This window comes from Homo sapiens, chromosome 9 (assembly GCF_000001405.40).
Source record: "Homo sapiens chromosome 9, GRCh38.p14 Primary Assembly".
In the NCBI taxonomy this organism is placed as follows: Eukaryota; Metazoa; Chordata; class Mammalia; order Primates; family Hominidae; genus Homo; species Homo sapiens.
Window position 1 is genome coordinate 125624328 of NC_000009.12, and position 15955 is coordinate 125640282.

Genomic DNA, 15955 nt, shown 5'->3' on the forward strand with positions numbered 1-15955 from the left:
AGGAGGTGGGGGGGTCGGCCCCCCGCCCGGCCAGCCGCCCCATCCGGGAGGGAGGTGGGGGGGTCGGCCCCCATCCCGGCCAGCCGCCCCGTCCGGGAGGGAGGTGGGGGGGGTCAGCCCCCACGCCCGGCCAGCCGCCCCGTCCGGGAGGTAAGGGGCGCCTCTGCCCGGCCGCCCCTACTGGGAAGTGAGGAGCCCCTCTGCCCAGCCAGCCGCCCTGTCCGGGAGGGAGGTGGGGGGTTCAGCCCCCCGCCCGGCCAGCCGCCCCGTCCGGGAGGGAGGTGGGGGGGGGGGTCAGCCCCCCTGCCCGGCCAGCCGCCCCGTCCGGGAGGTGAGGGGCGCCTCTGCCCGGCCGCCCCTACTGGGAAGTGAGGAGCCCCTCTGCCCGGCCACCACCCCGTCTGGGAGGTGTGCCCAATAGCTCATTGAGAACGGGCCAGGATGACAATGGCGGCTTTGTGGAATAGAAAGGCGGGAAAGGTGGGGAAAAGATTGAGAGATCGGATGGTTGCCGTGTCTGTGTGGAAGGAAGTAGACATGGGAGACTTTTCATTTTGTTCTGCACTAAGAAAAATTCCTCTGCCTTGGGATCCTGTTGATCTGTGACCTTACCCCCAACCCTGTGCTCTCTGAAACATGTGCTGTGTCCACTCAGAGTTAAATGGATTAAGGGCGGTGCAAGATGTGCTTTGTTAAACAGATGCTTGAAGGCAGCATGCTCGTTAAGAGTCATCACCACTCCCTAATCTCAAGTACCCAGGGACACAAACGCTGCGGAAGGCCGCAGGGTCCTCTGCCTAGGAAAACCAGAGACCTTTGTTCACTTGTTTATCTGCTGACCTTCCCTCCACTATTGTCCCATGACCCTGCCAAATCCCCCTCTGTGAGAAACACCCAAGAATTATCAATAAAAAAAAAATAAATAAATAAAAAAAAAAAAAAAAAAAAAAAAACAAGGGAGAGAATTTACATTCCAAAATGTAAAATTTTGATTCCAAAATACTGTCATTTCTAATTCACTCAGTTGCTGGTGGACAACAGAACATTCCACGCCATGAAACTACACAATTATTGAGGGAAAAACAAAAAACAAAAAAACAAAACAAAACAAACCAACCCTGCAGAGCAGCAGCTGGCTTTTTATAAGCTTAACAAAAGCCATGTTCAATAAAACTGAGGTAGGACTGCTGGGTGTGGCAGCTCACGCCTGTAATCCCAGCATTTTGGGAGGACAAGGCAGGCGGATCACTTGAGGTCAGGATTTCGAGACTAGCCTGGCCAACATGGTGAAACCCCATCTCTACTAAAAATACAAAAATTAGCCTGGCGTGGTGGTGTGTGCCTGTAATGCCAGTTACTTGGGAGACTGAGGCACAAGAATCACTTGAACCTGGGAGACAGAGGTTGCAGTGAGCCGAGATTGCACCACTGTATTCCAGCCTGTGTGACAGAGTGAGACTCCATCTCAAAAACAAACAAACAAACAATAAAAAAACAAAAAACTGAGGTCAGACTGAATTCACAGCAAAAGCTTACAAAACGTTTTATTTTTAGTTTCAAGTTTTAATCCTTCTTCTGTCTGAAAAATAGGCTACATTTGGATTGTCCAATTATATGGCAAGAAAGCACATAAGAAAAAACTACTGAAGTCATACTTAAGGTGTAGTATGAAGCAAAATATAAAAAGTCCATATCATTAAGGACTGAACGTCTACATTTTATTTTTAAGAAAATGCTTTGTACAACCTGTAGTCACTGTTAAGTGTAAGAGGAACTATTCTATCTATTCTATAGAATTGTAAGGGAACTAGGTAAGGAAAACTGCTCTACCAGGCTTCTGAGCTTTAGTCATAAAATAGGTCTTTTTACACTTTCAGAAATACTGGAAAGAACACTTCTCTTTTTACCTGGCATGGCCTCACCTGTTCCAGGCTCTCTCAAAAGTGCCTGCTCAGCAACTGCTTCTGTGTGTTCAGCATGTTGGGGTCAGGGCCCTGGCTAGCCTTCTGGAAACAGGTCTGGGGGCTCTAGCTCCCTCTGACCCCATTACTGGCACAGAAGGGTATGAGACAGCAATTCTAGTAAGCTTGTCTCCTATGCAGATCCAATCTCTTGTTGGGTGAGTCATGCCAATGTTTAGACCTACACTGTCCAACAGCCACTAGCCACATTTGGCTATTTAAATTTAAATTAAATAAGATTAAAAACACAATTCCATCACCACACTGGCCACATTTCAAGTACTCAACAGCCACATGTGGCCAGTAACTACCACACTGATCAGCGCAGACACAGAGGATTTCCGTCATCATAGAAAGTTCTACTGGAGAGTGCTGGTCCAGACTCAGTGGAGAAGGAATTAAGGAAGCCTGATTAGGGCTGCACATCCTAACCAGATTTACCAATAATAAAGTAGATACATTTAATTCCATTTTTCTGATTTATTCATCTAACTCTCAAGGTTCCAAAGTCAGATCAGAGAGGTGTGATTAATATTCATGTCCAAAATACTTAACAATAATTACTAACATATATAGAAGATTTATGATGTGTCAGCCACTATGCAAGAGGCTTATGTATCTAATTTAATTATCAGTACAATCTTATAAAAGAAGATACTATCATCATATCCTTTTCACAGATGAGAAAACTAAGGTTTAGAGAAAAGTGATTTTCTTATCACTTATTTTTTTCACCACACAGCTAGTAAGTGGTGGAGTCAGGATTCAATTTAAAAAATCAAACAAGCCAACAAAACTGTAGGTGCAATTCATATGTAACAATGAGTAGGACTCATCCCACTGAAGCCTTCTGTGAAATTGTCATCAATATAAAATCACAGAAAATTAGAACAGAAACTACTGCAATGTTTCATGACTACCTGTAATCCATGACGCCTTCTGATAACTTAAAAAATTTCACACTACCCCAAAGATGATACACACCCTCCCCACTGCCATTCAAATGCCTCTATCTTGGGCACATTTCCAATAGCCAGTTTTTTAAGGCTTTAAAGTTTTTATGTAAAAATTAATTTTTCATTTCCCAATGTTAAAATATTTTTTAAAAATACATTCATTGCCCCCTTAAACACACATATAGTGAACCATATAAAGTGAAGACCCTCTCTAATCTTTCCAGTTTTAGAGATGGGAATAGTGAAGGCAGAGAGAGTGGGATGGGAACACCTGGCCTGCACTGAGAAAGGGAACCACTGGAACCGGAACACATTAGGAAGGCCCTGCCAGCACACTTCACCTAACTCTTTTTTATTTTTTTTAAGAGACAGTATCTCACTATGTTGCCTCAACCTCTCGAGTAGCTGGGACTACAGGTGTGTGCCACTGTGCCCAGCTTTTCATCTGACTCTTGAATGGCATAATTCCTTAAACCCCACCCCATCTCACCCTCCAAAAAGTTACGATTTTATCCTACTTTACGGTAGATCTTGTGGGATATGTGGGAACGAAGCTCTGAAAGCATTCAGGTAAGAATTCCCACTGTTTTCATAGGCTGTTGGAGCCAGAAGAGACCTCAGAGAACTAATTCACTTCCTAATTTTAGAAATGAGGAGACAGAAGCTTGGTTAGTTACATACAAACTGAAGCATCCTGCCTTGTACCATTTTATAATTCTCTACGACAAAGGCGGCCACTTCATTTAATTGTGCAAAGTGACTACTGAATGTTAGGGTCTGTGGAGTTGCTGGTGTTAGAAAGATAAACTGGACATTGCCCTGTCCACACACAGCTTACATTCTATGAGAGCAAAGGACATATAAATATATAACTACAATGGAGTGTCATAAGGACTGCTTGTGGTAGTGAACTTGTAGGAGGCAGAGGAGGCCATGTGTGAGCTGAATCTTAAAGGATAAACAGCAATTCACTATAGAGGAAGACATTTCAGGCAGAAGAACACCACACACAACCCACAAGATATGACAGAAAATGGAATGGGCAAGATGGAATGGGCAAGAAGACAGGGCAGGTGACAAGGTGGGAAAAGGGGCACTTTAAATAAAATGCTTCACTATGCAGATCATCAAGAGCCACATAAAGGATACACTCTAAATGTCACTTTTACACCTGTGAAAAGTGTTCTCATTATAAGTCACTTAAGACAAGAAAATGTCTCTTCAGCAAATGGCATTGGGAAAATGAATTGTATGGATTCTTTTGTATGGATATCCACATACAAAAGAACGAAGGTGAATCCTTACACCACAGACAAAAATTGACTCAAAATGGATTAAAGGCTTAATGTAAGACCTGAAACTATAAAACCTCTAGAAGAAATCAAGGGAGAAAACTTCATGACGTTGGATGTAACAATGATTTCTTGGAATATGACACCAAAAGCATGGGTAATCAAAGCAAAAACAGACAAATGGGACTATATCAAACTCAAAAACTTCTGTGCAGCAAAGAAAACAACAGAGTAAAAAGGCAACCTATGCAACAGGACAAAATATTTGCAAACCATACATCTAATCAGGGGTCATGTATCTAACCAGAATATATAATGAACTCTACAACTCAACAACAACAACAACAACAAGAACAACAACAACAAAAACAATTTAAAATGGGCAAAGGACTTGCATAGATGTAAAAATGGACAACAAGCATATGAGAAGATGCTCAACATCACTAATATTAGAGAAACACGAATTGAAACCACAACGAGGTACCATACTTACACCTGTTAGGATGGTCACTGTCAAAACACACACACACACACACACACACACACACACACACACCAGAAAATAAAAAGTGTTGCAAAGGATGTGGAAAAAGTGGAAGCCTGTGCACTGTTGGTAGAAATGTAAAATAATGCAACCACGATGGAAAGCAATGTGAGGTTCCTCAAAAAATTACAAATTGCATATAATTTCAGTAATCCCACTTCTGGGTATACACGCAAAAGAACTGAAAACAGATATTTGTACTGAAAAGAGATATTTGTACTTCCATGTTCAGCACACCATTATTCACAATAGCCAAGAAGTGAAAACCTAAATGTCCATAAAAAGATGAATGGATAAAGAGAATGTGGTGTGTATATACAATGGAACATTATTCAGCTTTTGAAAAGAAGGAAATCCTGTCCTATGCTACAACATGGATGAACCTTGAGGACATGATGCTAAGTGAAATAAGCCAGTCAGAAAAAGACAAATACTGCATGATTCCAGTATTACTACCATATATCTTATGAGGGATCTAAAGCATTCAAACTTTTGGAAACAAAGTAAAAAAGTAGCTGCCAGGGCTGGGGGCAAGAGGAAAAGGGAAGTTGTTCAATGGACATAAAGTTTCAGTTTTGCAAGACTGAAGTTTGAGAGGTCTGTTGACAGCAACGTACATATAGTTACTACCATATTGAACACTTAACATTGGTTAAGATGGTAAATTTTATGTGTTTTTTTGACAATTTTAACTGAAAAATAAAAAAGAAAAGAAGACACGGAAATGCAGGCATGGTTCACTCCCAAACACCTATACTAGTCGAAGCAGACAAGGCCATGTATAACACAAAATGTCACTTTTAGATGTCCTTGGAGTATAATAAATGTGGCTTTTGTAAACACACAATTTATAAACATATTTAAATGACATGAATATCAAAATTAGTTTGTATGCTTCAGCTCACAAACTATGTGGGGAAGTAGGATGGAAGTGCACTGAGAGGCAGGGGACACTGAGCCTAGGGTCAACTAAGGCCTTAGAACCCCTACAAAGTAGAAACATAACAGTCAAGGCCAGGAATCAGTGACACCTAACTCTAGTAATCTCTGAGACAGTCAAGGGTCCAGGAACTCTCGCTCGGTCACCCAGGCTGGAGTGCAGTGGCATAATCACAGCTCACCGCAGCCTCGACTTCCCCGGCTCAACCGATCCTCCTGCCTCAGCCTCCCAAGTAGCTGAGACAACAGGCGCGTGCCACCACACCTGGCTAATTTCTTTTTTTTTTCTTTTTGCAGACACAGGGCCTCCCTATGTTGCCCAGGCTGGTCTTGAAATCCTGGGCTCAAGTGATTCCCCAGTCTCAGCCGCCCAAACTTCTGGGATTACAGGCATCAGCCACCATGCCCAGCCTCCAATAACTCGATTCTACAATAACTGGCTAGATTCCTACTCAGCACAAGTCCATACCAGGTGCTTTGTAAAACACTATCTCTGGCCTTCACATATTGTATGGTTTATTATTTTACAGATGAGGAAATCTTTGGCCCAAAGCAGTGCAGCAGCCCTGGTATGTCAATGCAAGTCTAGGGAGTTAGGACACAAACAGCCAACACTGAACCCTTAATCATGGAAAGATGATTAACACCTCTGCTATGGTTTGGATGTTTGTCCTCTTCAAACCTTATGTTGAAATCTGATCCCAAATGTTGGAAATGGGGCCTAATGGGAGGTGTTTGGATCATGGAGGCAGATCCCTCATGAATAAATTAATACCTTCCCTGAGAAGTGAGTTCTTACTCTATTAGTTCCAGAGACAGCTGCTTATTAAAAAGAGGTTGGGTTGATCACTTGAGCCCAGGAGTTTGAGACCAGCCTGGGCAACAAACAAAGGGAGACGCCATCTCTACAAAAAATAATTTTTAAAAATTAGCTGGGCATGGTGGCATGCACCTGTGGTCCCAGCTACCTGAGAGGCTGAGGCAGAAGGACTGCTTGAGCCCAAGAGTCTGAAGCTGCAGCAAGCTGTCATCACACCACTGCACTCCAGCCTAGGTGATACAGTGAGATCCTGTCTCAAAAAAAAAAAAAAAGCCTGATACCTCCCCGTGTCCTTCTTCCTCTCTCACCATGTGATCTCTGCATTCCCCAGCTCCCCATCTGCCTTCCTTAATGAGTAAAAGCAGCCTGAGGCCCTCACCAGGTGCAGATGCCCAATCTCGAACTTTCCAGCCATCAGAATTGTGAACCATAAAAACCTTTTTGTTTTATAAACTACTCAGTCTCCAGCATTTTGTTATAGCAACATAAAATGAATGAAGACAACTGCCTTTGCTCTGTCCAGCCTGGCAGAGCCATGCAGAGCATCTTCTACCCAAGAACCCTTCTACTATTTTCAGGCAATGTTCACATCTTCTCTGGATGGATTCTGTAAAGCCCAACTCATATGCCCCACCCGGTTCCTAGTCTCTACCACCTCCTTGTGGCACTTGTCTGAATAGACACTTATAGTTGTAAATGTCTGTTGTACAGAACTTACTATACCTCACCACACTAAATTCCCTACTTTTGCTAACCACAGCCATGGTGATTTATTCAGACGTAAGGATGTCAGTTTCCTGCTCCAAATACAACTAGCAGGAGCAAATCAAAACTCTTCTTGATCAAGCCTCGTCTCTCACCTCCTCTGCTCTCAGCCTCCACATTCCAGTCATACCCTACTACTTTCATTGCCCAGAATTTACCAGCATCTCTCACCTCAGATGTTTACACCAGCACTTCACCTACCTAGAAGCCTCCTGCCTAACCTCCTCCCATCCTTCAAGGCTTGGCTTAGGGGTCATCTAAGGAGTCTTCCCTGATATTCTCCCATGCGAAGCCCAGGCCAGGTGTCCTTCCTCTAAGAAACTCACCATACTAGGCCAGGCGTGGTGGCTCATGTCTGTAATCCCAGCACTTTGCAAGGCCGAGGCGGGCAGATCCCTTGAGGTAAGGAGTTCAAGACCAGCCTGGCCAACATGGTGAAACTCCATCTCTACTAAAAATACAAAAAAATTAGCCAGGCATGGTGGCACATGCCTGTAGTCCCAGCTACCTGGGAGGCTGAGGCAGAAGAATCACTTGAACCCAGGAGGAAGAGCCTGCAGTGAGCTGAGATCACGCCACTGCACTCCAGCCTGGGTGACAGAGCAAGACTCCGTCTCAAAGAAAAAAAAAAAAGAAGAAACTCACCATACTAAACTTTTCCTCTCATAGCATTTATTATGCTATATTATAATTGTCTGACTTCCCTACAAGATTACACATACCATTAAATTAGGGACTATCTCATTCACTATTGTATCCTCAGCATTAGTCAAGTCCCTGGCACATACAGGCACTCAAGAAATATTTGAGAAATGAATGCATGAGTTTTCCTTCTAACTACCTGGCTCTGCTGAATCATACTGAGGTTACAATTAACCATGACCCTAAACCTTTTCTTTCATGTGCTACTTGGTTAAACCTCATCTTCCTCTTCCCCTTTTCCACTGCCACCCCCATACACAAATGACTGCATCTTATGACTTAAGTGCAAGTATCATTTTGGTGTGTCAAGACCACTTTAGTCCCTGACTTTGTCACTGCACATGCCTGCTATTCTTCCCAGCCTTCTGCCTTCCACAAGTGTCATCAGCCTATCATCAATGTTCTCATTCAGGTCCCTGACAGCAATGAACACACAAGAGACCTACAGCTTGCCACGAAAGATAGCTCTCCAGTTTGACATAAATCCATTAATCACCACTCTGTGCCTCGTCTCTCAGCCAGGTGCAAAGTCCACCTGACCACAATGTGACTGGAGAATATCTCCAGCTTGCGTGCAAGAATACTATGCAAAAATTGATGCTTTACTGAAATTCAGAACAAAGAATTTTAACCACAGCCCTCTATCTAGCTAACAACCCTATCCAAGAAAGAAATGGGCTTGTTCTGCCCTGCTTGGTTCTGAGGAAACCCATGGTGGCTCCTAGCAATCACTACTTCCCTTTTTTGAATTTACAAGCCCTTTAGCTCTGCTAAGTGAGCTGTTGTAAATGCAAGACCGCTCAATCCCAAAGCTGAAAAGAGAAGTCTATGAAGTGTGAGTTGCTGAAGGAGACTTCATGAAAGAAGTGAGATTTAAGGAAGATTTCAATGCACAGCGCCAACAGAGCTTGGTAGAGGACACAGGGAGAGTAGCCAAATCTAAGTGTGAGTAACAGGGACAGCAAGGCTGATTGTGGATAACAAAGACAGCAAGTCAGAAAGCCTGGCCCAAGTATCACCTGGGACAAACAGGGACTAATAAAAAGCAAGTTCTTCCTGCTGGGCTGCCTCCTTGAGCCAAAAGGTCAACCACAGCTGGGCTTCTGCCTGAATTCTTATTTTAAATATAATAGAACACATATTAGATTAAGCTGAGACAGAAAGTAATCCTTACATAAAAGACAGTTGTCAGAATGGCCAATCTAGTTTCTCCTAAGCACTTTCTGATGACGAATCCACCACCAGGATTATGTGTAATGGGCAATTTTGATGCAAAGTACTATTTTGCAACATTGTCCCATTTCTCTTCCAGAAAAATGCAGAGGTAATTATGTACTCATAGTCAGTGTAGCAAATCAGTTAAATTAAACCTGTATTTCATCTAATTCATATAGAATATGAATAACATAACTAACTTTTCTAATTTCATACTCTAGTACTCTCAAGTAAATAAAAGGGGAAAAAAAGTAAAGTTTCTCCCCTACAAATAGAATCTGTCACTTCCTAGGATGTGCACTTTTCAGCTCATGCATCCTAAATGCATGTGGAGATATTATATGCACTTTCTATTTAGCAATTTAATTATATCTTTGCATTCAAAGAGTGGCAATGGTTTGCAGTAATAATCAGGTGAAAGCATTCTGACATTAATATGCTGGAATCCGATGTGTTAATTTGATGCAACTTTGCCTTGACAATATGTGATTAATTTGTTCTCAGGCTAGCCTTGCTCCCAGCTCTGACAGTTTAAAATGCTGGGTTTCTTTATCCATATCGCTATTTGACACGCCTTAGCCCACTGCTTTGCTAAGACCACTGTTAATTTGTAATGAACTTGCTTTTCAGGGGGGCTCCTTCATTTTTAATTCTGTCAGTGTCACCTCCTTGAGGAAAATTACAAGTTTCCGTAGGTGTGATTACTGCCAAGTGCTGCTGATAAGAGGTTTGAGAAAACAAGGCTTTATAAAGAAGTCTGTATTTAATCTGCTGAAACAGATTTATTGCCTCCAGACAGATAAATATAATACAAAGTTCTCTTATTTAAAAGTCATCCCTAAGTTCTCCCTTACCACAACCTCCTCCTAAACAAAAACACAGTTGCATTTCTAGGACTCAATAATGAGTCACTCAGGGAAAAGAGGTGAACGTGTAATAAATTTAGCAATAACAGCAATTCTTGTCATCAAATTAGACTTGTGGGGGAGTCTCATAAAACACATGAATACATTTTTCACAAGGTTTGGGGGAGGAAAAAATCCCACTGAAACAATTATAGTTTCACTTCCCTTCCAACTAGCAAAAATTTTACACAGCTTAACGAACCCATTTTCTGTGGGCAAACTGAGTACTGGTGAAGTTAGGTATGGATTAAATTTCTCCTTGGCATATGATCCAGACAATGCTTGATAAAGGGTTAGAGGGGAGATGGAAAGTCAAAGTCTCAAAACATAATGCTTAATATAAAACAGTAGAATAACAGTAGGCAGCCTTTAAACTACTTTCACGAGCATCTTCTATTTAACCTTCAAAGTAACTGCATCAAGTAGGTGAGACTGTCCCCATTTTTTTCAGGTGAAGACTCTCAAAGAGTTCATGTGAAGGAATGACAACAAGGAAAGAACAGAAGCTGGGACAGTAATCCACACTTTTGATGGCTAGTCTTCTGCTTTTCTCCATCTCAATCTACTGGAAGGAAATGTCATCTCCTCTCCAGTTAGTCAACAAATAGAGCTAACCAGTCTCATGATGGACTCATTCTCTTGGGCACTAATCTTTACTCTTTTTCCACTTATTCGATGGCACGCTATTCTCCAGCAATGTCAGCCTTCCTACTGTGAAGCCTACTGTTCCCTTAAGGCCAGGTAGTCCTCAAGTCCTGCTAATCCTACCCTCTGATTTACCAGATGCTCTTAAACGTCTACACCAACAGTCAGAACTTAGAACAGACCCATTCACCTCAAACATCGTTTGTGGCACAAGCCCCTTTTCAGAAGATTAGAAACATTTCCCAATACTACAAATTAAATTAAAGCTCCTAGATATGAACTATCAGTGAGTTCTCTCCATTTCCCAAACCATCTTTTTCTTTCTTAGCTCCCCAGCTGCTGCTCAATTAAAAAGTCAAGAAAAAAGCCTTCCACCCTATGTTCAGGCTGATCTGGCACCTTTGCCAACAGAGATCACTGCTCTACTATTTGCTAAAATGCGCCCTACCTTTTGCCACAAGACCGTTCATGAAGCAGCCCTGTCTGAGAAAGAGACTAGTGAACTGAAATATCTGCCCAAAGGAATGTAATCTAAACACTATTTGCATTCTACACAAACAAGAAAAACTCAACACAAAAGCAGGTAAAAAAGCAGAATGCAAAACTACACCTACACTATAAATCATGCTAAATGATGTAAAGATGATTTTGCATCTATGGCTTGAAGAGAGATACAATCATGAAATTCTGATTTTTAAGGTAAGTCTTTATACAGAAATTTCTTAATGCTTCTTTATTGTCATTTGCATACCTACCAGTCTACAAGTTACTTCAAAGCAGGCGTAGCAGTTTATTCATGTCTGTATCCATGGGACCCAGAAAGTAGGGGGTTGATAAGTTTTCACTAAATTAAACTAAATAGAAATTGTTAACAGACATGTTAACTCATATATGGCTCAACTAGAGCAGCTCAGTTCAACCTGGGACATGTATGAACTCCTGGTATCAGCTGCGGCTGGTGTAATGGGAACAGCTGCTGCTTTGAAGTGCCTTCTCCTAAAGGACACACGGCTCCAGGGCAGAGACCACATTCCCTATTCCCAAGTCTTCCTCCACCACTGATTTGTGTCAGAGTGAACCCTGGGGAACTGCTGCTGAACAACAGAAAAAAGGAGGCTGGTTCTAAGATGAGCACAACTGTGGACCAAGCCAAAGGCAGAAAACACCTAATAGCAGGTGTCATTGCCTAGAACAGATGAAAGTTATCCTGAAAGGGACATATTAATATACAGAAGAGAAAAAAAATAAAACTGAAAGCAAAAAATGAAACCAAACACTTTAAAAACACTAGGAAGTACTGGTTTGAAAATACATAGGAAAAAAAGCTAACGCATATATATCAAGATACAATAGAGACAAATTAGATAATTCAAAATTCCTCCATACCTAACAACTCTGTAACTGTGGCTTTTGCCAGATAACTGCATATTCTCTAACATGTGAACTGAGAAAGTCAATCTAATAGTGCCAGAACAATCACCATCCTTGAGGAGAAAATTCTAAACCAAATAATGAACACAGGGCAGGTGCATCCAGTGTATCTACTACCAGACCATTCACAACTAAAACAGCATGAATTAACTGAGAAAATGAATCAACAAACATGCCTTGGTCATCTGTTATGTGCCAATGACTATAGCAGCATTTGCTTACATATGATCTGCCAGGTGATCTGCACCACTCCTACCAGCAAGGCTGGAGGGAGAGGACAAAGGGTCCAAGAGAAGCTAACTTCTTACTCATGGTCACACAGAGAATAAGTGGCAAAGCTAGGACTCAACCCTGTCTTACCCTAATCCACCACACTCACACCTTAGCCCAAAAATCTCGTGTCTAGCTAAGAAGACATACATACATGCAGATGATCTGATTAGAAATGCCACAAGTCAATATCTAATTAAATTTATTGCAAACTGGCCAGGCACGGTGGCTCACGCTTGTAATCCCAGCATTTTGGGAGGCCGAGGTGGGTGGATCACTTGAGGCCAGAAGTTTGAGACCAGCCTGGCCAACATGGTGAAACCCTGTCTCTACTAAAAATACAAAAGTTAGCCGGATGTGGTGGCGCACACCTGTAATCCCAGCTACTTGGGAGGCTGAGGCAAGAGAATCACTTGAACCCAGGAGGCCAAGGATGCAGTGAGCTGAGATCACACCACTGCACTCCAGCCTGAGTGACAGAGCAAGACTCTGTCTCAAAAAAATAAATGAATAAAAATAAAAATAAAAAAAGTATAATGTAAATGATGCACAAGCGCAGAAGGAATGAGCAGATAAAAGGTGGTTCAAGTATCAAAGTGCTAAAGAGAATGGGTTTTGCCCTGTTTTCTAAAAAAAAAAATGAGGAAATGGGCCAGATGTATGAAAAAATTAGAAATCACTTGTGGTCATAGAACTGTCAGGTAATACAACAGTTGAGGTGAGGCCACGCTGGGACTCAGGATAACAGAAGATTTGGAATCAGACTGACCCAGATTTAAGTACTGTGTAAACTTGCTTAATGGCTTGCTTTTATTCATTCATTTCACAAATAATTATTTTTCACCTACAGGCCAGTTCCTCTGTGGGGTTTTCTCCTCTCTGTTTCTTAGTTTCCTCATTTAGAAAACAAGAATAAAAAAATCTCTGGCCTATTACAAGGATTAAATGAGAAACGATGTATTAAAGTAGCATACCCACAATAGGAAGGTAGGTAGGTAATGGGTACTTATTTTTTGTTCTGAGACGGAATCTCGCTGTTTCCTATGCTGGAGTGCAGTGGCGCAGTCTCAGTTCACTGCAGCCTATGCCTCCCAGGTTCAAACGATTCTACTGCCTCAGCCTCCCAAGTAGCTGGGATTACAGGCATGCACCACCACACCTGGCTAATTTTTGTGTTTTTGGTAGAGACGGGTTTCACCATGTTGGCCAGGCTGGTCTCGATCTCCTGACCTCAGGTGATCTACCAGTCTTGGCCTCTTGAAGTGCTGGGATTACAGGTCTGAGCCCCCACGCCCAGCTGGTAATGGGTACTTAATGGTTGAACTGAACTCAACAATAAGAATTAAAATTGGAAAGTGTCTGAGGGAAAGGGCTCTGATTGTCAAGTGGAGGAGTTTAGTTTTGCTACCTTGGAAGGGCAGTGGGAGTATTTAATCTGGCCACCAATGAACAGGACAAACCAAAAGAGAGGGGACATGAAGCAGAGAGACCAGCCTGGAAGGTGCTCCTGTAATATAAATGGGCTGTGATTTGGTCCTGAAACAAGAGTGTGACTGGTGAATCTGAGAAGTGTCAAATCTGACAGACACTGAGAAGGAATCACTGGCTGACCTTAGGGACACACACTGTGGGGAGAGAGTGGTGAAATAGAAGAAAAGTACTCCAGTCAATTCTGGCTTAAGTCTCACTTTGGAAACAATCCTTCTTTGAAAATAATCCCCTGGATATTACTGATTTCACAGAAAGACCCATTGTTTTGCACACAAAATACACTTTAATATTTTTCTGCTTTTTCTACAAGCAACATCCTTTCTCCCAGCCAAGTCTAAACACTATTCTGTACAAATTACCTCGATCTGCCCAAGATTAAACTGCAATTTGCTTACTCTCACTCATGTCCCTCAATCATTCGGGCCTGAGGAAACAGGGCCTGCACCCTTTAAGACTGCAGCACATAAAGCATTCTGTCATCAGGAGAATAGTGCACTCTGTCCCTAAGCACATCATTGTCTCTCAAATGGCTACAGCTGCAAATATTCACTTGCAAAAGGATTTTATGAAAACCTCAGGGCAAAAGGAACGATCACCACCTTTGGGGCCAACCCCTTCGGGAAAACATGGAGCCACTTAAAAATCTGGCTGAGAATTAACCTCACAATAACAAGTGGAAGACCTTTGGGAGCCCTTCAAATATAGAGATTTAAGAACTCTATCTGAACACTTTGGGAGGCTGAGACGGGCGGACCACCTGAAGCCAGGAGTTCGAGACCAGCCTGGCCAATATGGTGAAACCTCGTCTCTACCAAAACTACAAAAAAATTCACAGGGTGTGGTGGTGCATGCCTGTAGTCCCAGCTACTGGGGAGCATGAGGCAGGAGAACTGCTTGAACCCAGGAGGCGGAGGCTGCAGGGAGCCGAGAATGCACCACTGCACTCCAGCCTGGGCAACACAGAGAGACTCCATCTCAAAAAAACAAGACAAAACAAAACAAACAAAAAACCACTATCTGGAGCTGTGCCTAGGTTCAAATTGCAGACTCCCCACTTCTTAGCTGTATGACCTAAGGCAAGCTGTTTAACTTCCCCATACCTCAGTCTCCTTCACCTCTCACTGCGGGGGTTATCATCTCTCCTCACAAGGCTGTTTTGAGAATTAATCAATGCATGCAAAGCACTCAGAATTGTGCCTGGCACATAGCTAATTCTCAATATATGCTTGTTGTCATTATTATATTCGTTATCATTAAAATTGTTTAAATTCTCCCTCCGTCCCACCTAATACCTACTGAACACTATGCTGGGCACTATGTACACAGGGAAGTGGGGGAGAGAGGCACGGGAAGAGACAAATTTGTACTCTAAAGAGACGATTGTTGTGGAAGTACAGAGGAGGAGGCCACTCTCAGATGAGGCAAGGAAATGTTACAGAAGAGGTGACGTCTGAGTTGGCTCTTAAGAGAACACCTAGGAATTTTCCAGGAGAAAGAAGTTTACATGGCAGCAGATACAGTATCTGGTTTCTAATACAAAAGACCTGAATCAGAATTTATAGGTTTCTAGGAAGGACAGACAGCTGCATGGAAGGTTATGATGAGGAGGGCAGTGAGAGGCTTATTTCTCCTTCTGGGGAGATATACTTGAACACAGACAGGCGCATGGGGGCAGAATCCTCAAGGCAGGCAGTGAAAAACTCAGTCAAAGATTCCAGCCAGGTTCTCCTCACCCTTCAAAGCTGGACATAGTACTCGCTAACTTCTCCTACTAAGACCTCAGTATAGGCATGACTCCTTTGTACTTCCAAATCATCCTGTCCTTAGATCATCACGTTCTGTTTATCCCTTTTTTTTTGAGACGGAGTCTCGCTCTGTCACCCAGGCTGGAGTGCAGTGGCACGATCTCTGCTCACTGCAAGCTCTGCCTCCTGAGTTCATGCCATTCTCCTGCCTCAGCCTCCCCAGTAGCTGGGACTACAGGTGCCCGCCACCACGCCCGGCTAATTTTTTCTATTT

The 15955-nt window shown here is 42.7% G+C and overlaps 1 protein-coding gene across 6 annotated transcripts in view, besides 1 other annotated feature; it reads right to left on the bottom strand.

Moving 5' to 3' along the window:
* Window positions 1–15955, bottom strand: part of MAPKAP1 (MAPK associated protein 1) — a 269815-nt gene that overhangs the window by 186934 nt on the left and 66926 nt on the right. The gene's annotated exons all lie outside the window — the stretch shown is intronic.
* Window positions 12297–12446: an enhancer, noted in NCBI's record as "active region_29009". NCBI's record gives its function as "activates an Ori minimal core promoter by ATAC-STARR-seq in GM12878 lymphoblastoid cells {active_cell/tissue: GM12878}" and the evidence as "EXISTENCE:reporter gene assay evidence [ECO:0000049][PMID:35858748]".